Source organism: Homo sapiens, chromosome 7 (genome assembly GCF_000001405.40).
Source record: "Homo sapiens chromosome 7, GRCh38.p14 Primary Assembly".
Taxonomy (NCBI): domain Eukaryota; kingdom Metazoa; phylum Chordata; class Mammalia; order Primates; family Hominidae; genus Homo; species Homo sapiens.
Genome location: NC_000007.14, coordinates 18538461 through 18563630, shown reverse-complemented (window position 1 = coordinate 18563630; position 25170 = coordinate 18538461). Strand labels below are relative to the sequence as shown.

General features: G+C 36.0%; 1 protein-coding gene across 40 annotated transcripts in view, besides 1 other annotated feature; it reads right to left on the bottom strand.

The window, feature by feature from the left end:
- Window positions 1-25170, bottom strand: part of HDAC9 (histone deacetylase 9) — a 915592-nt gene that overhangs the window by 438786 nt on the left and 451636 nt on the right. Inside the window, exons 3-4 of one of the 40 annotated variants that reach the window (NR_135835.2) lie at window positions 20346-20462; window positions 15124-15488 (exon numbers count right to left, since the gene is read on the bottom strand). The exons of the other annotated variants lie outside the window; for them this stretch is intronic. The gene's annotated coding sequence lies outside the window, so the exon portion shown is untranslated. Of the gene's footprint in view, window positions 1-15123; window positions 15489-20345; window positions 20463-25170 lie in introns of those variants that run through there. 40 annotated transcript variants of the gene reach the window in all.
- Window positions 12605-13106: an enhancer, noted in NCBI's record as "NANOG hESC enhancer chr7:18590148-18590649 (GRCh37/hg19 assembly coordinates)". NCBI's record gives its function as "activates a minimal SCP1, AML or CMV promoter by ChIP-STARR-seq in primed H9 embryonic stem cells {active_cell/tissue: H9 hESC(primed)}" and the evidence as "EXISTENCE:reporter gene assay evidence [ECO:0000049][PMID:30033119]".

Below are 25170 nucleotides of genomic sequence, written 5' to 3'. Positions count from 1 at the left end.
ATGGTGACAGGTGCCATGTTTTGAGACTATTCTCTATAACGAATATTGTGCTAAACACCTTAAATACATTGTGTAATCACAGAAACAGGAAAAATTAATTCTGCCTGTAGGGGTTATAAGAAAATTTTCTGAGTAAAAGATATTAGGGGATGGAAAATGGGGAAATAACTAAAATAAGCTAACAATAACAACAAAAGAAGATAACAAAAACATAACCATTGAATAACTGGAGCTTATATATTTTTGGAGGAGGCTTATATATTTTATATTTCAAATGCTTAACACAGGATGGAAAAAAAAAGATGACTTTGAGAGACATTTTCAAGGTATAATAGCAGGATTTGAAGACCAATTGTATAAAACAAGTAGAAATCCGTTTTTAAAAATCACTGATATACTGAGATTATAATAGCACTATTACGGCCACATTGAACTTTTTGAAATTAATTTTAAAGTCAGTGGGCAACATCATTTGAGAGCAAAAATGGGAGCACATAAATGGAATAAACCTTTCTTAGCCATCACAAAAGTTTTCTGTCAAAATATATCATAATATATTTATGAAATCTTGGAAAATTTGATCAGTAAATACAACCAAAATAAATAACTAATCAATAAAACATGACCTACATCAAGAAGAACAAAATTGTTGGGCATAAATTTAACAAAAGTGCAAACCTTGTACATCGAAATTACAACACTGTATGGAAGGAAATTAAAGGAGATCTAAACGAATGAAAAACATTTCATTTTCATAGGTTAAATATTTAATATTATTAAGATAGCAATATGACCCAAATTCATCCACAAATTCCATGAAATCCCTACCAAAATTCCATCTTTTTTCCTGGCAATTGACATACTAATCTTAAAGTTAATATGGAAATGGAAGAGACCCAGTATAGCTAAAATAACCTTAGAATGGAAGAACAATATAGAGGACTCACACTTTCCAATCTCAAAACTTATTACAAAGTTATAATAATACAACAAAGAAGTACTGGCAGAAGGACAGATGTACAGATGAATGGTATAGAAATTAGAATCCAGAAAGAAACCATTACATTTATGGTTAATCAATTTTAGACAAGAATGTTATTTCAATGGGGAAAATAACAGTTTTTCAACAAATGGTGCTGGGACAACTAATCACATACACACAGAAAACCTCAAAATGGATCACGTATTAAAATGTTAAGAGTTAAAACTACAAGAAAATACGTGAGTAAATCTTTGTGACTTTGGATTAAGCTATGGTTTATTAGGTAACAAAATCAGAAGCAGAAGCAATAAGAGAAAAACACATAAATTGGACTACATCAAAATTAAAATTGTTGCTGAAAATAATACCATCAATCCACAGAATGGAAGAAAATTATTGCAAACTATATATCTTTAATACTCAGAGTGTATAAAATAAAATCTTACGACTCAATAATCAAAATAAAAATGACCCAATTAAAAAACAGACAAAGAACTTGAAAAGACATTTCTCCAGAGAAGATATACAAATAGCCAATAAGTCCTTGAAAATCACTCAACATTTTTAGTCTTCAGGGCAATGCAAATCAAAACTGAAATAAGATACCACTTCACATGCACTAGAATGGCTATAATCAAAAAGATGTATTATAAGAAGTGTTGGCAAGTACTTACGAGCCAGCAAAACTCCACTGCTAGATATATGCAAACAAAAAGACATCCACACGAAAACTTGTACATGAATGCTCTTAGCAGTATTCTTCATAGTAGCCAAAAGGCGAAACAATCCAAATACACATCTGCTGATTCACTGATAAATAAAATGTGGTATATCGAAACAATGGAGTATTATTCAGCAATAATAAAAACAAGTACTGAGTTACATGCTACAATATGGGTAAACCTTGAAACCATGCTGAGTAAAGGAAGGCAGTCAGAAGCGACCACATATTTGGTATCGTTTCATTTATATCAAATGTCCAAAAAATGGGCACATTTATAGAGATAAAAAAATAGATTAGTGATTAATTATGGCTGGTAGTATGGAAAAGAGAATGGGAATTGATGCTAATGGGTCTGGGGTTTCTTTTAAAGGGTAAAAAGTATTCTATGTTAGATTGTGGTGATGGTTGCACAACCATGTGAATAGACTAAAATATACTCAATTGTACATTTTAAATGGGTGAATTTCATGTTATCTCAATAAAGCAGTTAAAATAATCTAATTAAATTGTTTAGATATACTGAGCTCTAGGCATAACAAAAGGTTAATATACAGAACAAAATATTTCTTCATTCAGAAATGAAGATAATCTCTGGGGAATTGGCATATTCCTTTAGAATTTTTAAAGTATGCTCAGTGAAGTTGCCAATGCCATATTAGTGTGCTCACTCTAGCCGTTCAGGTTACATTTAAATTCAATACATACTATTACCAGCTTCTTTTGGAGAAGCACATGCGAAAGCATCCACTTAAAATGCCACCACAAATAACTGACTTCTTTTAATCAAGGCAATGGATCTTTCTATTTCTTCTATTCTAATCACTTGAAAGTGAGAGAAAAATGATTCATTTTTTTGTTGTTGTTTCTTTTTATCCCCTGACACCAAAGGCTTTCTGGGGCTGACTGATACAGTATGTAAGAATATCGGTGGTATCCTTCAAAGGCGCCAGTGTCTTAATAAGATAGTCATTTCCTAATGCCAGGAGGAGAGCACGGGACAAGGTGAGGTCCAAGCAAACTTCCAGATGTGTTATCTGACCTTCATGGCCTTCTGACTTTGCCCCTTGCCTTTTCCTTAACATATTCTCTCTCTCTACCAAGCTAATGCTCCCTCTCTGATTCCAGGGGAGCTAGCTCTATGGTCCCCACAATTCCCCACATCAAAATGCTTCACCTCTGTCCACGTTCCCTCTATCAAAACAGAACAGGCCTTTAATGAGGGTGCTTAATTTGTGCACTCACTCGTCCAACAAATACATACTGTTTACTAGGTGCCAATCACTGTGCTGAGTGACAAAACAAGGCACTAAGTTGAAGAGAAAAACGCATATTCCACTACACTGTAGTGAAGAAGTGCTATGTCAGAGATGAGCACGGGGCACAACAGGCACACTTTACACAACAAGGTTTTGGAAGTGAGTATATGCAGGAAACCAAGCAGCTGTCACAGAGGCATACAGGGGATGTTGGTAGCACAATGGTTAGTGTTGAGGGTGGGGAGTAAGCAGAAACTAATACGACATCACAAAGAGGTTGGGACTTTAAGAAATTAATATGTATAGAGTGAATATTCTACAACAGAAACTACTATTTCCTTTAAATCCATTTTTCTCAGTTAATTCTCACAACTCCTAGAGGTCTTTAGTATTATTTCTAACTCACAGGTAGAATAGCAGGAGTGAGCCCAGTTATGGTCCATGCTCAATATCTCTCTGCTGACAGATAACATATACCTAATATTATGTCAGATCAGTCTGAGCCCAATTATTTTTTATATTCTCCACATGAATCTTGAGATCTCCAGAAATGTTTGAAATAAGAATCTTAAAAATAATAAAAAAATTGCCTCTTGGAAAGAGAAACATGACTAAGATTTACAACAGAAGAAAAGACTTTTCATTATATAGTCTTTTGCTTATCTTAGCTTTCATATCATGTCATGTATTATCTATTCAAGTGAATGAGTAATCAAAACAAATATAGGAAGACTTTAGGATTTGGGTCAATTTGACTCACATTTAGTGTAAGACTTATATTTAGGTGGTATAGCCAGCATTACTGCTTCTAACATACAGACATTTTTAAAAGACCTTAGAATATAATATTTGAGGATTAAAAAGTATCTCAGAGACCACAGAAAAGGGTGAAAAAGTTATATTCCCAAAGCTGTTACTAAATAATTATTTTCATTTGGCTGAGACCCCAGGAAAGTAGGTGTCAACTACTCCCACATTCCAGACCACCTATGCAGGCTGAAAAGGGAATAACTGAACACCAGTGTAGGGGCCTTAGCTCCTTAAACTCCAACGTATAAAAGGGCTGCAGTAAAACCGGTCAAAGAGATGGAAAAAAGAGATGGGGAATGTCTTGAGAGAGAGTTGTCAGTATCTTCCATGTCCCTACCCCCTCCTCCTCAGGGATGGTTCAGGCTTGCTTGTCCCTCACCTTAACATTAGTAAAAAGGACTTCAGAGAATTCATTTAGAGAGATTGATATGTTTCCAGAAGTTTTGGAGATACGATCGATTGGTTTCTCACTCAAGCCTGAGAAATCTAAAGTATAAACATCAAGGATAAGAAGGTGATTGAACACACTTGGGCAAAGATGACCCACCTAATCAGCAGGACGAAGGTGTGTGTATGTATTGTGTGGGTCAGATCTGGGCCGGGAGAGAGGGAGAACAAGACTATTGGGCTTTGCTGTCTTAGAATCTGCCCATGAAGGACACCTAGTTGGAATTCAGAAGGAATATTCTGGAGGTGTACAGACTAATGTCCAAAGTGTGAAGAACAAGTTGTAACTTGTCAGTCGGGGGATGCTTCACTTAGTTCAGGGAACTGTAGATGAGTGAACCCTGGGTAAGCATCCACCAGAAAAAGAGGCAGCTTTAATCATCAGTCCAAAACAGGGATGTCACCTCACCCAACATGGAAGGCATTTCCCTGCCTTACCTGTTCCCCTCACTTCCCAATGTCACCACTCTTAACAAGCTGGCAAAGCAGCTATGGAACACAAAAGCTGGGGCAAACAGCAAAGCTGACCATGCCATTCTTTTCTGTTTCAGGTGTATCCATGCAGCTGGTTGAGCTAGTGAATCTGAGAAACCTTTACTGTGAAGAAAACGTCATTACATTGATAATTACTGAATCGAGACCATTTGAGGCTAAAGTGCTTTGATGACTTTTAATTATCTGAATGTTGCCAGAAAAGTTCGTGCTCAAGTGGTGGTCAGTGAGTCAGACTTCTCTTTCAGTGCTAGTTTGAATGGGTAGAAGAGAAAGCAATTAAAGTTGGTTTTCTGGTGGTATCCTACAAAACCCATATATTCAATACAAATGTTACAATAGAGGGACTAAATCTATTTATCATCTTGGCATTATCAGAACCAAGCATTATCAGAACCAAGTATGTTAGGCTAAGCACAACCTGAGTTTCCCCATCTGTAGAGTATGGTGGATACATTTAGTGAGCTAACCCTGAAATGTAGTCTTGAAATGAACCCTGCTGTGTAGCTTTTAGATGACCTTGGCAGAACAAAGACCTTGAGATAGCATTTTTATTTCCTCTTACCCCTTATTTCTCTGTAGTTCCTTCACTTACCAATGGCCTATGAAAGAAACACCAATAACCGGAAATACACTATATTTAGGAATAAATTGCAATGTTTATTTATTTTAGTAGCAGGAAAAATGAGTGTGTTTTCTGAGGATTCTAAGAATAAAGTATGTAAAACATGAGAAGACTAACCATTAATAATGATGGATCAGAGAAGATGACAGATTGCATAAAGTTCTAAATGGAAAAAAAGCTGTATCCTATAACTGGTTTATTAGCCCTGTCTTGTTTGGGGGCCCTTTTTAAAATGAAAATAAATGCTTTCTGTATTTGGGGCCCAAAGGCTAACCAATATAAGAACATTCTTTAAACAGCTTTTAAAAATGTTTAAAGTCTTTATGCTTGTTTATTCTAGGTTTCCTATATTGTTAAAGAACTTTTAAATGCTAGATTCTTTCAAGTTCAGCAGGTAGTAGGCTCACTTGTAAAAAGAAAAATATATGTTAGTACATGCTGAAATTCAATTAAATATTTATTAAGCCCCTAATATGCCAAAAGCCTAATACAAACCAACAATTTGTATATAAATAATATTTCATTTTTGTTTTAAATTATAAAAATAATTTATAATACTTAATATCATTATAATTGTTAATATTTTACAATATAAAATATATTTTTAAATTATAAAAGTAATTTATAATATATAATTTGCAATGTTCATGGCAAGACATTTTAACCATACAAGAGAAAAAAAGGTCAAAAATTCCCTTTTCTCACCCCTTCTACTACTACTACTAGTAGAAATCCCTAGTAACAGATTCTGTGTATTCTCCATAAAGTCTATCTTTCATGAAATATTATGTTTATATCTCTATATATTATAGATGAAACAGATAACATAACTAAAATAAAGAACACACATAACAATCCCATTTTTATTTACATTTGTAATAAAGAAAACTTAGGGAGAGGTGACTTTAAAGTATACCAGGAGGATTAAGGTTAGATATAAAAAAAAAAAAAAAAACTCATCATTGCTTTAAAGTTGTCAAAGCCCCAGGATAAAACAGCAAAAGTGTTTGCAGAATCTCCTTTGACCTACATCTGCTTTTTAAATTTTAAGTCAATATCACATGGAGAATAGATCTAGATTGTTGAAATAACAGAACTCCAAAAGAGCGTCTTCTGGCTTTAAAAATAACCACAATCATACAATTCCTGCAGTAGCTGGGAATCTGAGCACAGAACCTTGTCTCCTAACTTATAGCTAAAATACAAATGAGATCATTTAAAAATTCCTCTTGAATCTACTGAATTCCCTAATAAACTGTCACCAGGTATTTTTCTCATTAAAAGATATTAAGAAGCCCTCTCAATAAATAGCAATATTAATAGGTTTCTGAACTTGCCATACAGGAAGCAAATAAAAGACTGAATAAACCAATAAGCAATTAAACAGCACTCATTAGATTTACTTAATTACTCAAAAGAATTATTTACCCAACTCAAAAAATGATTTACCACATTACCCCCAAAACTCTTCTAAATGATAGAGAATCCATTTAGTTTTCCAAGGAATTATGTATGCAGCATTACCAACAATTTAACAGACACATGAAAATGTGTGGGGAAACACTGAGAAACAGAAGTTTTATTGAGTTAAATATTAAGATAAGTGACAGTAATTTTTAAAATATTCAATTTACTTCCAGAGGAACATTTTTCCATATGTGGCATTTGGCTGCTGACTTCAACACTGGATTGAGACAGAAATTAGTGAACTTAATTAAAGAGCTGAGAGAACATCTGAAAATTCAATAGACATTATTTAGATAGTAAAGACGCTTTGAATTTTTGATCACATAGGATACTGCTATCGTAAAAGAATTTAACTGTCTTCCAATTTTTGCCCAAAAGGTGAGAGAAAAGTCAATTTTAGGTGTTGTTTCCTACTACATTTCTTATTTCTGAATCTTGGGCACCCAAGCCCTTGCTCAATGGATAATTATTGAATGAAGGAATGAATAAATGATTTAATAAAAAGTAATATTAAGGAACTCACCTTTATGCTAAAATGACACAAATCTTTGTAACTGTTTTTGTCTATAAGAAGTTTGTGAAATCTTACCCTATCTTTACATAAACACACAATATAAACCCCTCCCAACACATATTTCTAACACGAAGTGCTACCTGTATTTAAATACAGCCATGATTCACAGCTATAACATTTTTGAACTGCCTCCAACAATAACCTGAAACTTTTGAAGCATGAACATTTTTAACAGAATTTTTGATGATATATTTATTTTTCCAATTAAAAAGATATATTTACTAAAGAAAAATAATTCAAGAAAATAAAAAGAAAATCCCAAGATTTTACCATGTAGAAAAAAATCACTGTGAGATCTACTTTTGGAGTGTAGACCAACCTATGTAAAAAGGTTTTCATCTTGCTCTTTTCACTGAATACTACAATACAACTATTTTGCCATGTTATAAAAATTTCTCATATTGTCTTTGAATATAATGAAATAACTTAGAATACAGACCTACAATAATTAATTTAGCCATATGTTACTAATGAACATTTAAATTATTTTCGATTCCTTGTTTTTTAAAAATATCGTTTATTATTACATCTGTAAATGGGTATTGTAGAAATTAGGAAATAATAAAATACAGAAAATATCAACACCAATTCCTAATACCCAGATGTTAGCATTGCTAAGATCCAGTATATCCTCTTGGATCTTTTTCATATACACACATCTGTGTGTTTGTGTCTGTCTCCGTGTGTATACTAAAATGAGGTAATATAGTCATATTGTATTGTAGCTATATTATTTTGGGGGGTCAACAATCTCCATCTATTTCAGAATAATTTCATCACATCTAAAAGCCAGATCATATTCACACACAATTCCCCACAATTGTCCCAAAATTATCCATTAGAATTGGATTGTCAATAATTAACCAAGCTCCCATTCCCCAGACTTCTTGAAGACTTCGGAATTTTTTGCTGTTAGTAACAGTTTTGAAATGCAGACTTTTGAGTATCAGGCTTTTTCTATAATTAGAATTGTTTCCTTAGGAGAGGTTCCCAGAAATGGAATTAATGAATCAAATACCATGAACTTGTAAATCTCTTGATACCTACTGCCAAATGTCTTTCCAAAAGCATTGTACCAAATTATATTTCCAACAGTGGGGCATAAGAATCTTTTTTAAATGAGCAAAGTTATATTAAAGGAGACTTTTGAACAGAATTTTAATTTGATGTCAAAAAATAATGAAACTACATTTTATATGTTTTCATCAACTATACAACTACACAATTTTATATGTTTCTGCCAAGTTCAGGTCAGTTAATTGAATATGCACTTCACACATAGAATTTAACTAGGTAAGAAAGATGTAGTATATAGTTCCTGCCTGCAATATACACATAGAAGCTACTGAGAAGATAGAAAGGACCCTTAACAGATGATGTCAATAGAATTCTAGAAGACAGTGACAGAGATGCACCCAATGATTTGTAAGAACCAGGTTCATAGTCATCCCACCCAGTCTAAGAAGAGAGAAAGCTCATGAGGGCTTCTTGGAAGGTATAACAATTTAGTTTATCTTGATGGTTAAGTAGGAGTTATCCAGGGCAGAAAAAAAAGAAGGAGGGAGACAGAAGAGGATAGTCACAGCAGAAGAATCAGCATGATCTTCAAGAGTGATCTGGGCTGGGCGCGGTGGCTCACGCCTGTAATCCCAGCACTTTGGGAGGCCGAGGCAGGTGGATCACAAGGTTAGGAGATAGAGACCATCCTGGCTAACACGGTGAAACCCCGTCTCTACCAAAAATACAAAAAATTAGCCGGGCGTGGTGGCGGGCGCCTGTAGTCCCAGCTACTCCGGAGGCTGAGGCAGGAGAATGGCGTGAACCCAGGAGGTGGAGCTTGCAGTGAGCCGAGATCGCGCCACTGCACGCCAGCCTGGGTGATGACAGAGACTCCGTCTCAAAAAAAAAAAAAAAAAAAAAAAAAAAGTGATCTGTAATACCAGTTGGTGTACACAGAGGCAACTAACCAGCCTTTTTTTTTCCTGTCTTTTCTTCGCTTTTATGGTATGCATCATTCCTTTAACATAGTTTCGACAATATAGACAATACAGTTCTATAATCACTTCTTATGCATATAGTGTATATTTCAGATCTTCCAACTGTTCTAAGGAAGAAGGATTAGAATTAATACCTTCTCTAGAGGACATCTGATAAATATATGGACTTATTTTTTACTGTCACAGTAACTAACGGTGCTACTAATAATTACTAGGCAGGAGCCAGAGAAACTTAACTTCCTACAATGTGTGGAACATTTCCATACAAGAAAAGAACTGCCCTACCTAAAATGCCAATAGTGTCCCACCCTCCCTTCATAAGAAATACTGAGCCAGACTGTAAGTCCCTTGAGGATAAAGACGGCATTTAACTTATCCATTACTCCCATCACACCTATAACTCTCTTCTAATTTACTCCACTATTTACTATGCATCACCATCAGGGGCATTACCAGAACATAAGGGGCTGTAGGATGCTCGTAGGTAAGATAAAATCAGTGGCAGCCACCTATCTCATAATTTCAATTGGCAAAGAAAACAAATCAGCTTTAATTCCCTCTATTATTTGCCTCGGGGAGAAAATTCCCAGAGACATTCAAGATCTGTGAAAAACTTATGTTTAAATAATTGTGACTTAAATCCCCTACCAATAGTTACCCGGAATTAAAGCAGAATCTTTCGAAGCTTAACACCTAATATGTTATGAAAAGTGCAGAATAAAATGATAAGTTCACACAAGTACTGTTTGTTCTTAATTGTTTGATTAGACTTTTTGAAGTCTGCAGCACGTATTGCCTTTAAAAGTTTCTTCTTAAAACAAAATTGCCATGATTTATTTTTTACTGAATCTTTACACATCATTAAAACACAGTCATTTAGGCTTTAAGACAACCACAGTGTTCTTGAGGGGGGAAAAGCACCCTAAAAACATAGGGTTCTTAAGGTTTTTATTTTACAATAAAACAGGCCACAGGCAAATAAACACAGTTCTGAGTTAAAAGTAGCAGGAGCGTTAGGTTTCAGAATTATCGTAAAACAGGAAGGTTGTGAGGGTGTATCAGAGGATGAAAGCAGCCTCAGCCCTGGAGCCTTCCTGCTGACTTGGGCCATGCCAAAATACACAATGGTTTACGCACAGCACAAATACACACAAAGGTGCACACGCACAGTACTCAAAGGATAACTTACTTAGGATAGCTATTATCTTTCAAAAGACCTAGTTCAAAAGTAGAAGATAATTTTTTTAAAAGGTTCAAAGAGTTAATGCAACTACTCCTGAAAATAACACGCTGCCAGTACACTTGGATTAGAAATGGTTTTCAAGCTTGTGCATATTAGCAGTTTTTATTAAGGTAAATGCCATCTGGAAGAATAATCTTCTCTCTTTGATGATAATTCTACAAACACACATACACACTGAAATGCCGGGTACAGGTTTACCTCTAGAGTCAGTGTTGAATTTCTCTCTGAACAATTGCTTCTAGACCACATCTCAGAGAAAAAGTAAATATCTGTGTTGGTAAATATGGCTCAAAATATACACTGCAGTAAGGAAAATATACATTGTGGCAAAGAATGCCATACCTACAGTTATAGCCCATTCCAGTAAAAGAAGTGGGAGAATATGCCAAATGGAGGTAGCAGTTAAATTGCTCACCAGAAAAATAAAGAAAACCGGGTCATTATTTTTCCTTCCCTGAAATAAAGAAGCAGCTTCTGCTTAGTTTGGAACAGTCACTGCAAAAAGGGAAGCTTGTGTTTATTCAGCTCTGTTCTCAGCAGTCCATTTCATTAGGCTTCTAGTGCTTTTTTTTTTAACTTTGTTGCAGTAATTTGTGGGTACTGTAAAGCCTACTCATTAAGTGGAAACTCAGAATCCTGTAATGCAGAATATAAGCAAAAGACAATATAAATACACACCAAAAAAATGCAAATTAATTTCCAAATAGTCTGCAGGCTCAAAAAAAAGGAAAACCTGAAAATCTAGCTACTTTTTCAAGATCATAATTTGCATTACTAATAATTTATATTTCCACCTATAAACCTACATAAACCTAATGTAAAAATACTTGACATTCTTGATAAAATATATGAACAAATTCAATAAGAGTGTAAGCTACAATATATTTGTCACAGTTTGAAATGAATTCCTGTATAATTTTAATCACAGTTACTACACAGGATTACTTGATAATTCCAAGCCAAATGCTTAATCTTTTAAAAATGCACAAGTCCACAATAACATGTAGCCTCAAAAAGTACTATCTATAGAAGATGCTGATAATAACAAATGTGATCATAATAAAGATAAGATGCTTAATATCTTTTTCCTAAGATAATAATACATAAAATACATTTCAATCCAGCCTCCTAGAATAAGTGTAGTGGTTACCTTCTGCTGTAAATAACGGCTCAAGGAAATTCAGACTCACCACAGAAAAACTGTTAACACCAAATCTAGTTCTTAAAACAATTTTAAACAATGTTGATTCTGTTTGAAACTTAAGCAACAATAACAACAAAGTCTACTTTTTCTTAGCAGGCTAAATTTCAAACAAAAAATGATCCTGTTTTCCAGTATAAAAATAGAATAAAAATAAAATTAGGGATACAGGAAGATATTGAATCACATCATACACATTTGCACTGAGGTAAGAGACACAGTTTAGTAATTGGATCGCTTTTGATACTTATTCTTCTTTTGGCTGAGAGGACACACATTGTCAGGGTTTCTATCTCACTAGTTGCTTCTTGTCTCATTTTCTGGTTCCTTGTCTATTCCCTGACTTCTTAACTCTGGTTCCCCGGGGTTTAGTTCTTGGTCTTCTTCTCCACCTATAGTCACTTCCTCGGTAACCTCATCTAATCTCATGATAAATATCACTATGTGTTGGCAACTCTCAGATATGTATCTCTGCCCTGGATCTCTTTCATGAACTCCAGACTCATATACCCACCTGCCTACAAGCAATGTCTACTTGTATGTCTAAAAGATATATCAAAGTTACCATATCTAAAAAAAGATCTCCTGACATTCCCCCTCAAACCTGCTCCATATGCCATCTTCTCCATATTGGTTGTTGGCAACACTAACCTTCCAGATGCTCATGCCCAAATCCTTGGAATCATGTTTTACCCCTTCCATTCTCTCACAATCTGTATTAAATTCATCAGGAAATCCCTTTGACTCTATCTTCAAAATATCCTGAGGGTTTTTTGATGTATGTGGTTGTTGTTAATAATATGAATAATAATTCTCTCTACCTTCACAGCTAAGAGTATAGAATAAGCCAATGTCTTTCTCAACAGGATTGCTAGGGTCCTAAACTATAATTGAGATCATGTGGTCTTCTGCTGAAAGCCCTGCCATGGCTGACTATTTTGCTCAGAGTAAAAACCAACACCTTCAAAAGCCCTTTGTAGTCAGATCTTTCTTTCCTATCTGACCTCACCTGCACCTACTCTCCTCTCACCACTCTACTCCAGCCACTCTGATCTCCCTGCTGTTTCTTAAACATTCCAGGCATCTCACATCCTAGTGCCTTTGGCCTTGCTATTCTTAGTGATCAGAAAATGCATCGCTCAGATCAATTTATGGCAAAATTCCTTACAGTTTCTCACACCTTACCCTGTTTGAAAATTGTAACTTTCCCTCCATTCCCACCTGATATCCCCCACCTACTTAACTCTTTCTTTATTCCATAGCACTCACTAACTTCTAAAATTTACTTACGAATTAAGTCTGTTTTGTTTCTGTCTCCTCCTCTTGTAATGTAAGCTTTAGAAGAGCAGCAATTTTTTTATCTGTTGTGTTGACTGGTACATGCCAAGCCACATAGACTAACACCTGCCACATACTAAACACTCATTAAATATTTATTGCATAGAATGGAACAGAACAGGATGAATGGAATACATATAGGTTGGGAAATCATAACATAGAATGGAACGAAAAAAATGGGATCGAATATAGTACAGTAAAAAATAGAAGAATAGAGCAGAACAGGTTGGTAGGGCAACTGGCTGTTTTCAGTTTTGTTACTCTACTTCATGCTTTCTATCACTAACTTTCTCTGCTTTAGGTTCTAATCTGTTAAAAAACAAAAAGATTGAGTTATAAAGAATGAGATAGCTATGAAATGATCTGCACTTCTCAAAGAAGTTATATATCCAAATTATAATGACAGGAAAATTAAATAACTAAAATTGAGTTGAAAATGGTAAAAAAAAAATAAAGAATGCCTTTCCAAAAAATGAAGGCATTCCTAAGCAAGAAAAGTAAGCTATCTCAGTATCCTACAAAAAAAAAAGAACTAGGGAGAAGGGAGAGAAAGAGGAGGAAGAAGAAAAAAAATCCTGCAAAAGTAGAAACAAATGATTTTGGAAAGAATAAATGAAATGCCTACATTCCCAATTTACTTCAAAATAACATTTCCCCATAAGAAACTGTGTGTATGTGTGGGTGTGGGTGTGCGTGTGCATAAAATATGACTTTACCAAAAAAAAAAAACCACCTTTTTATTTTGAAATAATTATAGATTCTTGGAGAGTTGCAAAAGTAGTACAAAGAGGAATCCTGTGAAAGCTTCACCTAGTTTTCCCCAATGGTTACATCTTATATAATAATAGTACAATATCAAAATCAGGAAGTTAACATCCTTAAAATGTTAATAAATTGAAGCATACCATATGTAAACTGTTGAAATTGGCTTTTTTTCCTTCAATATAATGCCCTAGAGGTCCATCCAAGCTGTTGTCTGTATCAACAGTACATTCATTTTTATTGCAATGCAGTATTCCATGGCATGGATGTACCACACAGTTTGTTTAACTATTCAGCTATTGAGGGACACTGTGAATGTTTATTGTTTTGAGTTATTTCAAATGAAAACAGCTGCAGTGAACAACTGTGCACAATATTCTGTGCGAACATAAGTTTTAATTTTTGTAGGACAAATTTCCAGAAGTGCAATTGCTGGCTTATATGGTAAATTTGTTTGTTTGTTTATTTATTTATTTCAGACAGAGTCTTGCTCTGTCACCAGGCTGGAGTGCAGTGGTGCAATCTCAGCTCACTGCAACCCCCACCTCCCAGGTCCAAGCGATTCTCCTGCCTCAGCTTCCTGAGTAGCTGGGACTACAGGCACGCACCACCACACCCAGCTAATTTTTGTATTTTTAGTAGAGATGGGGTTTCACCATATTGGTCAGGATAGTCTCGATCTCTTGACCTCGCGATCCTCCCGCCTTGGCCTCCCAAAGTGCTGAGATTACAGGCATGAGCCACCACACCTGGCCTATTTTTTATATCTTTAAAGAATCAGCCAAACTATTTTCCAGAATAGCAGTATCATTTTACATTCCCAATACCAATGTATGAGCGCTCCAATTTATCCACATCCTCACTAGCATTTGACATTATAATTTGAATTCCAGCTATTATCATAGAGATATATATATTTACCCACTGATATTTATTACATTTTTGTGTGCTTACTTGATATTTGTATATCCTCCTCAGTGAACAGTCTTTTAATATTTTTGCCCATTTCCTTATTGCTCTGGTTGTTTATTTTACTGTTGAGTGTTGAGTTATTTATACATTTTAGATATGAGTCCTTTGTCATAAATGTGTTACAAAAGTGTTGCTTTTTTTACATAGTGAAGGTTACACCAATAGACTCACATACACTTATTAAAGCAATAAATCCAAGAGCTAATTACATACCAGATACAACTACAGACATATCTCATTTTATTTTGCTTTGCTTTATTGTGCTTTGTAGATATTTTTCCTCTTACAAATTGATGTTTTGTGGCAACTCGGCTTTGAGCAAGTGTGTCAGTGTCATTTTTCCAGCAGCATGTGCTCACTTTATGTCTCTATCAAATTTTTGTAATTCTTGCAATAGTTCAATTTTTTTTCATTATTATTATATCTGTTAGGGTAATCTGTAATCAGTGATCTTTGATGTTACTAGTGTAATTGTTTTGGAGCACCACGAACCACACCCATATAAGACGGCGAACTTAATCTGTAAATGTTGTGTGTGGTGTTCCGACTTCACTGACCAGCAGTCAGTCTCTGACTCTCTGCCTCTCCTCAGGTCTCCCTATTCACAGAGACACAAGAATATTGAAATTAGGGCAATTAATAACCCTACAATGGCCTCTAAGTGTTCAAGTGAAAGAGAAAGAGTTGCACATCTCTCTTTCAATCAAGAGCTAGAAATGATTAAGCTGAGTTAGGAAGGCATGTTGACAGCCAAGACAGGTGGAGAGCAAGGCCTCTTGAACCAAACCACAAAATTGTGAATGCAAATGGAGGGAGGGAGAGAGGGAGGGAGAAAGGGAGAGAGGGAGAGAGGGAGAGAGGGAGGGAGGGAGGGAGGGAGGGTAGGAAGGAAGGAAGGAAGGAAGGAAGGAAGGAAGGAAGGAAGGAAGGAAGGGGTTTCTTGAAATGGAATCTACTCCTGGTGAAGATGCTGTGAACACTGTGGAAATGATGACAAAGGATTCAGAATATTACATAAACTTAGCTGATAAAGCAGAAGCAGGGTTTGAGAAGCATTGACTTCAATTTTGAAAGAAGTTCTAGTGTAGGTCAAATGCTATGAAACCACATCAGCATTACTTGCTGTAGATAAATCTTTCATGAAAGGAAAAGTCAATCGATGCAGCCAACTTCATTGTTGTCTTATTTTAAGAAAGTGCCACAGTCGGCCGGGCATGGTGGCTCACGCCTGTAATCCCAGCACTTTGGGAGGCCGAGGAGGGCAGATCACAAGGTCAGGAGATCAAGACTGTCCTGGCTAACATGGTGAAACCCCGTCTCCACTAAAAATACAAAAGATTAGCCGGGCGGGGTTGCAGGTGCCTGTAGTCCCAGCTACTCGGGAGGCTGAGGCAGGAGAATGGCCTGAACCCGGGAGGCAGAGCTTGCAGTGAGCGGAGATCGTGCCACTGCACTCCAGCCTGGGCAACAGAGCGAGACTCCGTCTCAAAGAAAAAAAAAGAAAGTGTCAGAGTCACCCTATCCTTCAGCAACCACCACCCTGATTGGTCAGCAGCCATCGACATTGAGGCAAGACCCTCAGCCAGCAAAAAAGGTTGTGACTCAGTGAAGATGATCATTAGCAATTTTAAGCAATAAAGTAATTTTTAATTAAAGTATGTATAGTTTTTAGGCTAATGCTGTTACATACTTAAATGACTACACTGTAGAGTAAACATAACTTTTATAGGCTGAATAAGGTAAGTCAGCCAGATTTCACAGGCAGACTGCATTTTAGCTGCTCTAGCAAAAATATTTAGTAGAAGTTATAACTATTACAGAAATTTAGTTTTACTGGTGACCTTGGAATATGATTATCCACGGGGTCTCTAATCTCAAATTCTTCAGGACAGACCATTGCAAATAAGCAAGGCCACAAAACACACAACGGAGAGAAGTTTCACTGTGAACACTCTCAGGTGAGGGGAGACTGGTGACTCAGCGATTCTCCAACTCTGTCCCTGCTGGAGAACTTTCTATGAATATATTTACATTTGTTGATGCACTACATTATTAATAGGGAAAATACCACCCCATCACTATACAACACAAAATACCAACAAAGCAAACAACTTGCCTATTTTAAAATGGTAATAAGTTCTATAAGCTTCATCCTAGGTGTTAAAGTCAAACAAAAGACTAAGAGAATGAGAAGGAGAAAGAAGGTGTCAGGATAGGTCAGGTTGAAATATAAGGAGAAGCTATAATTTATTGAGTATCTCCTTGTGTCAAGCACTGTGATAGGTACTTGTCATCAGCTAACTAGTCTAATCCTCATAAGAACTTGGAGAGTTCGTATTCCGAGTTTACAGGTGACAAATCTAAGAGTCAAAGAAACCTTATGCCTTGATCCAGATGTGACCCAGTGAGAGTGAGATGCATGGGACTATATATCCCATTCTAAAAGCTGACTTCTTGCCACTATACCAAGAATATTTCCACAAGTTTATATTCTGAAATCATATTCTTACACTGAAAAGATTTTTTTCAAAAACAAAATAGAATCACTAACTCTAAAAAGAACATCTCTTTCCAACATCTATGCAATCATTAGGCTAGGGCATGTAGTGCTTGGCAAAAGGGGCAGGAAGAAAAGCAGCCAAAAATTTAGGAGATATTCAAATTACTCCCGTTCACATATTCCTGCAGAATAAGATCACAGTTTTGTCAATATGCATAATATAAGTGAGAATAGAAATTTGTATTGGGAAAAAATAATGTAATCTGAGGAAGTAAACTTGCACCAAACTCAAGAAATTTTAGTCTAGAGATTCACAGGCCAAAGAATAAGAAAGTCAAGCTTTATTCTTTTCCCCTCTCTTATTTTATCCTATATAAGTAGGGAGGTATTTAGGGATGTTGTAGTGCATAGTGAACCAGTAGGTCGAATTTTGCCACTTAACATATAATTCTCTTGACACTACAGTGCACATGTGCCCTTTCATTCATTTCATACCTGCCATTTTATTTCTTAAATTTATTAAATTTCCCTCAATCTCCTTATGGATATCTGTTTGGCATTCTCGCACCTCACACTTGTAGCAGGCACTGTTTTGGGTGCTGCAGATATAAAGTACTAATACACAATGCCTATTCCCAAGGAACTTAAAGTCAAGCCCAGCAGTTTCAAGCCTTCTGCTTTATGGTGCCCGTGGCATATCCATAATTTTTTACTACACCCCCTAGGCCAAAAGATATACCTAATAATTGAGTTTCTTGAGTTGTCAAGTCCAAACAATTTAATAACTATTTACGTCCTAAAAACTCAACAACTTCTGGTCACTACCCAACTTCACAAACCTTGAAGTCAGATTGGAAACTGCCATTCTCACTTCTTATTCCACAGTGATATTCACCAAGTATTTGATTCTTATCACAGCAACTTCCAAAACCAAGTTTTACAAAGAGACATTATTTAAAAAAAAAAAAAGAAAGCTAATGTTGAAACTGTGAACTATCTTGAGTTAGTAGTTCATTTAGTGCTTGACAGATGCCACTGTGTTTCCATTCACACTTTAAAATGTCCTACGGCACTCCTATGTCCACCCTGGGGTGTCTAAGCACACACTTTGGGAACCATACGTTTAGTGCAGGATTTCTCAACTTTGGAACCATTGACGTTTGGAGCCAGATCATTATTTTGTTGTGGGGGAGCTGCTCTGTGCATTGCAGGATGTTCAGCAGCATCCTGTGCCTCCATCCATTAGATGCCAGTAGCATCACTCCACCACCGCTCAGTTTTGACAACCAAAAATGTCTCCAGATATCGCCAAAGGTTTCCTGGAGGGCAAAATCACTCCTATGTGAGGTTCACAGGTTTCCTGGAAGAAACAGATAAGTAAGTCAACATTTGCCAAGGAATAGCATCATGGCTCTGACAAAGGTAGCCATTTGGCAATGACCTCCACAATGCAAATCCAGTGGTAAATTCTTTATGTATTTGACCTAGATGATCAGCTCCCCCTTCCTGAAATACTGTCTTTCCTTAGTTTCTAATAGTCCACATCCTCCTGTTCTCTTAATTCATTAACCACTCATACTCATCTTTGTTGTTGTTGTTAGACTCTCTTTCTGCTCCCTAAATGGTGGAGTGTCCCAGAGTTCAGACCTCAGAACTTGTATCTTCACAGACTATGCTCACAGCCCTGGTAGGCATGTCAGCATCATAACTTTAAGTACTATCTATATGAGGATGATGCCCAAATACATATCTCTGTTCTGACCCTTTTCCTAAACACTGTCCCTTCAACATCTCCACATTGATGCCTGGTTGGCATCTCACACCTAATAATACAGCCAGAATCTATTAACATGTTTTCATTCTTAAACATGTCCTTCACTCAGCATTCACCAAAGTGCCACCAAAATCCATCCAATTATTGAAGCCCAAAACTTAAAGAGTTGTCCTTGAGGCTTAGCTTTCTTTAACCTATACCAAACCTATGAGATCTTTATCAACTCTACCTTCAAAATATCCTTCAAATCTGATAACTTCTCCCCACCTCCAGTGTTGTCACCTAGATCCAAGCCAGCAACATCAATTAGCTAAATCACCATGACAGCCTCTAGCTGACCATCCTGCTTTCACTTTGGGTCCTACAATCCCTTCTTACAGAGCAGCCAGAAGGTTGCCTCTTAGTATTTTACTACGTAAATAAGATCATGTTATTCTACACACTTAAATTAAAATCCAAAGATCTTACAGTGGCCTCAGGACTTTATCATACAGCATCTTGGTGTCTTCCTGGTCACATTTCTTGCTGCACTTCTGCTAGTCTCAACCTTGTAAGCCACTTTTCTTTTTTTTTTTTTTTTCCTAAAATACACTGAACGAGTCCAGGACTTTTAAATATGCTGTTCCCTATAATTAGAATGCTTGTCCCTCAGATATTACTGCTGTTCACCCTCTTGCTTCTTTGAGGTGCTGATCAAAATCACCTCAAAATAAATTTAGATTTTATGTTTTAAAAAATATATTCCATCTCCTCCATAAGAATGCAGGCCCCACGAGAGCAGGAAAATTTTACCTTTTTGTTCACCAAGACTGTAGTTAGCACTTAATATAGCATCTGGCATTTAGTGGTATCTCAATTCATATTTTTAAACAAATGAATACCAGAAAATATGATGAACAGATCTGCATGTGGTGTCACAAAAGTAGAGAAGAAAGGCATGTGCATCTGAACAGGGTGATAGGATAAGTTTCATAGAGCAGGCAATGTTTTAGCTTGGTTTTGAGAAGGGAAAAGCAGAAAGGGAAGGAAAGCACTCCAAGTAGAGGAAATGGCTTGGTGGGTCAGAGCTCAGAAGACAGAAGCAGCAGGGCTTGTTGAGGAAACTCTAGGCGAGTGAACAGAGCTGGGGCACTGAGCAGCAGTCCTCAGCCATTTTGGGTCTCCACATCATGCAAATTCACCATTCACATGTCCCTCAGAAAATCTTCCATGTCGTTTTCATGTAAAGATGTATGTCCCTCTATTTATGATGTATCAGAATCTCTTAAGGTGTGTGGGTAGAGAATTTGGAAGGAAACCTAGAGAGAAAAAATGACTCGATAAATACACAGGGTCTGTCAAAAAATAACTTTAAAAGGTGTATGTTTATGTGTGCATGATAATGCACACTTAAATATTTCTATTATTATCTTGAAAGTGATGGAGGCATTTTGAACTAAGAATTACCATAGTCGGAGCATTCTCCTAATTTATTATTTGTAAAATGTGATATCTACATATTGCATGACATAAATATACCATGAGCTATTTCTTCATTCCCGTTATTGAGATTTTAGGTAGCTTCTAATTTTGCCATTATAAATAACAGTAATTAATATACTTCATTAATTTTTAACATATTACACACTTAGGATAAATTTCTAGAGCTAGATTAACTCTGTGAAAGACTATAAATATTTTAATGCTCTGATACATAGTGGTAACTGATCCTCCAGAAAGAAAACAGACACATATTCTCCCATCAGTACAGTACAGGGCCTTTTGCCACAATCTTATTAATATGAAGTATTTTTAAAAATATTTCCAAATTTAATAGATTTATATATCATGATGTTATTTTGTGTTTTCTTGATTATTAATGATGTTGAGCTTTGTTGCATGTATTTACTGTCACTTATTAATCTTTTTAAAAAAGTATCTGCACATATTCTATACAAAGAAAAATCTTAGAATTTTCCTGTACTGTAGGACTATTGCTAACATTTAATAGTATTAATTGATTATTCAAATATTAACTTAGGCATCCTATGTGCCAGGAACTGCTTTAAATGTTTTATACATATTAGTTCATTCAATCCTCCTAACAGTCATATGAAGGAGGTTTTATTAAGGTATTTATATTAGAGATGAGGAAATTGAGGTATAGAGAAGTTGGTAATTTGATCAAGTTCCACAGCTATCAAAGCAGGGAGGCAGAGTTTGCTTCAGATATGCTCCTAACCCCTCTGTAGGAGAAGCTCTAAGGGGAAAATGAGTTTAATTTTGTATATGTCATTTTTCATAAGCCTATAGAACATCGAGATCAGTGGTTCGTGAATAGAGATGATTTTATTGCCCCGGGGTCTTATGGCAACTTCTGAAGACATTTTTGATTGTCACCACAGAGTGGAGTGTTGTGCTACTGGCATCTAGGGCGTAGAGGCCAGAGACGCTGCTAAACATCCTGCAATGGGAAGGATGGCACCCCACAACAAAGAACTGGCCAGTCCAAAATGTTAACAGCATCAAATCTCAAAAACCCTGATCTAAATGGATATATCTGTAGGAAGTCTGGAATTTAAAAAAGCGGTCTAGGCCAGAGAGAAAGATTTGGTATAAATAATACAGATTTACCATAAAGGATTACATTTTCATGAATCACTATGAACATATGTTGTTATCTAAAATTCCACTCACAGTCTGCTTGCCATCAAATTTATTATTAAGATTTACAGGATTAAATAGACTATAAAATCTGAACATTTAAACACATAATTCATTTAGAGAGGGCCCTTGTATTTCAGTCACTGTACAGATATAGAATTCCTGTTTCTGTTCCAACAAAAATATTTCTAAACAAAATTCCACATAATTAATTATTATGTTTGTCACCACAATGCTTGCAAGCAAATAAGATCGTTGCTGAGTAACACAGAATGGAATATTTTAGACATTAGGAAATTCCAACCAGAGAAAAACATAAAATTAAGGAAAGAATGTATTAGAGAGACAGTTGAGCCCCAATTAGAGTCATTAGCTTGGGAGCCCCTTGTGAAAGGACTAGTACCATGTGGACAGATATGGCAAGGCATAGTTGGTGATTCAAAGAGTTTCTTCAAGAAGTTAAGAGCTACTTTCGCTCTTCTGGAATCTTGGCTGGCACACCGGGCTGCCAAGGTCACGTTCTACTGGCAGGCTGCAAAGCAAAAGGCACCCATCCATGCATATTAGCAAGGGGCAAGGTGCCAACTGGAAGGCATGGCAAAGGCTATCTGCTTCCAGAAAAAAACAAATGTTATAACCAGTTGTATTTTCAATCAGAAAAAAAAAAAAAAAAAAAAAAAAACACGGTTCCTTGGATATTTGAAACACTTAATGCTATTTCCAGCTGGGAAAGTTAAATAACCATCACTATAGATGCCATGTATTTAGTATGGTGGAGTGTGTGCTTTGGAGTCAAATACCTGGACTCAAATTCTGGCTTTCTTACTTACTGGCTGTATGATCTTAGGCACATTACATGCTTGGTGTCAGTTTCTTTATCTATAAAACAGGGGAAATAATAGTATCTATCTTCTAAAATTCTTACGAGAATCATGTAGGTTAACATATGTAAAGTCCTTACAATAGTGTTTTACTTATGCTAAATGCTCATTAGTGTTGGGTATTTTAATATACTTTTGAACTAAAAACATTACATTGTTTAAATTTCAATGTTCCTTTTCTAAATATAATAGTCTTACATTACAGACAAGAAAACTCTGCAAGTTCTCTGTACCTCCTTCACAAAAATTCTTTATACATCCAAGGCTGTCTTAAGTCTCCTCTTAACTTATGTCATCATAATTCATTTTGTTTAATAGAGTACCAACATTATCTTGAAATATCATGTAAATATTTCATGTCTGTTTAACCCCCGATATGTCTACACCCTGACTTCATGCAATAACTTTTTAATAGTATATGCTGGCCTATCTTGGAATAAGGGCTTCTTTTAACATCTAGAACACATCAAGTTCTTGTCTACTGGCAAGGCTTAGCACAGTACTTGACACACCATTAGGATTCAATGAATATTTGTTAAAGGAAAGAATAAATATATTTAATAAGGTTTCTTCAATTTGATGATGACAGTGTTATATGTAAGAAAGAAGGCAGCAATTTTACACTGTCTATAAACTTTCCCACCCAACCTTTTTTTTTTTTTTTTTTTTGAGATGGAGTTTCACTATTGTTGCCCAGGCTGGAGTGCAGTGGTGAGATCTCGGCTCACTGCAACCTCCGCTTCCCGGGTTCAAGTGATTCTCCTGCCTCAGCCTTCTGAGTAGCTGGGATTACAGGCACCCACCACAATTCCTGGCTATTTTTTTTTTTTTTTTTTTTTGTATTTTTAGTAGGGATGCGGTTTCAACATGTTGGCCAGGCTGGTCTCGAACTCCTGACCTCAGGTGATCCACCCGCCTCAGTCTCCCAAGGTGCTGGGATTACAGACATGAGCCACCGTGCCCGGCCAACATTTTCCCCTTTTGCCTTATTTACTATAAAAAGTACTTATGCTTCCCATTGACATTTGTTTCTTTTATTTTGTTTTATTTTAAACAAATTGGCATATGGTAAAATTGACATTTTTGGTGTCCTCATTTTAACACATTTATAGATTCAAATAACTATAATCACAAGCAAGATGTAGAAGAGCCTCATCACCCCTAAAATCTCCCTTATGCTCCCCGTACCCTAACCCCTGGCAACCACTGATCTGTTACCTACCAAATGTTTTTCCTTTTCAGTTTAAACAACAACAACAACAACAACAACAACAAACTTTTTGTTTGGAATAATTTCAGATTTTCAGAAAAGTTTTCAAGATAGTATAAGTTCCCATATACCTTTCACCCAGTTTTCCATGTTACCATCTTAGATAACCATAAGACATTTGTTAAAACAAAGAAATTAACGTGAGTACAATACCGTTTACTAAACTACAGATTTTATTTGAATTTCATCAGTTTTTACTAGTATCCTTTTTGCTGTTCTAAGATCTAATCCAGGGTCCCAGGTTGCATTTACTTGCTGTCTCCTCTGATCTGTGACAGTTTCCCATCTTTCCTTGTTTTTCATGACCTACATGCTTTTTGAAGATTCCTGATCAAGTATTTTATAGAATATTCCTGAATTTGAATTTGTCTGGTGTTTTTTTGTGATTGGACTGAGGATATAAATTTGGGGGAAAAACAACGAGGTGAAGTGCCCTTCCTATCACACCCACATAAGTAGAGTAGAGCCACATGACTTATCACTGGTGATGTTCACCTTGATAACTTGGTGCCATTGTGTGAATGTGTTTCTGTGTTCCCTAAATTTCATTTGTTTGAAATTTAATCTCCAAATTCATATGTTGATAGCATTTGGAGGTGGGGCTTTTGGGAGGTAATTAAGATGAGATAAGGTCATCAGGGTAGAGGCCCCATGGTGGAACTTGTGGCTTTACAAGAAGATAAAGAGAGACCTGAGCTGGCATGCTCTTGCCCTCTCATCATGTGATAGCCTCTGCATCACACAGTAAAAAGCCCTCCCTAGAGGCAGCCCCTCCACCTTGAACTCCCTATCCTCCTGAACTGTAAGAAATATATTTCTTTTTTTCTATAAATTACACAGTCTCCAGCATTCTAACACAGAAGTAGAAAACAGAATGAAACTTGGTTAAAGAGGTTTCTGCCAGGTTTCTTCATTATAATTTTACAATTTTCACTTTCCTATACTCCATTCTTGGAAGTGAGTCACTAATTTAAAAGTATTATTATGACTATGCTATTGCAAGCATAATTTATCCATACCCCTATCATGTGAAAGTTATCATGTAGAGGGTGCTTTCCTTTTACTTATAACTGCACACATGAGTCAAGTATTACCATCCTGACTTCACAAGGGAATTAAGGCTCATGGCCGTTAAATAGCTATTAGTTAGTAAGGGGTAAAAATAAAATTCAAGTGTATGAATATCTGATTCCCAAACACGTGCTCTCTTCT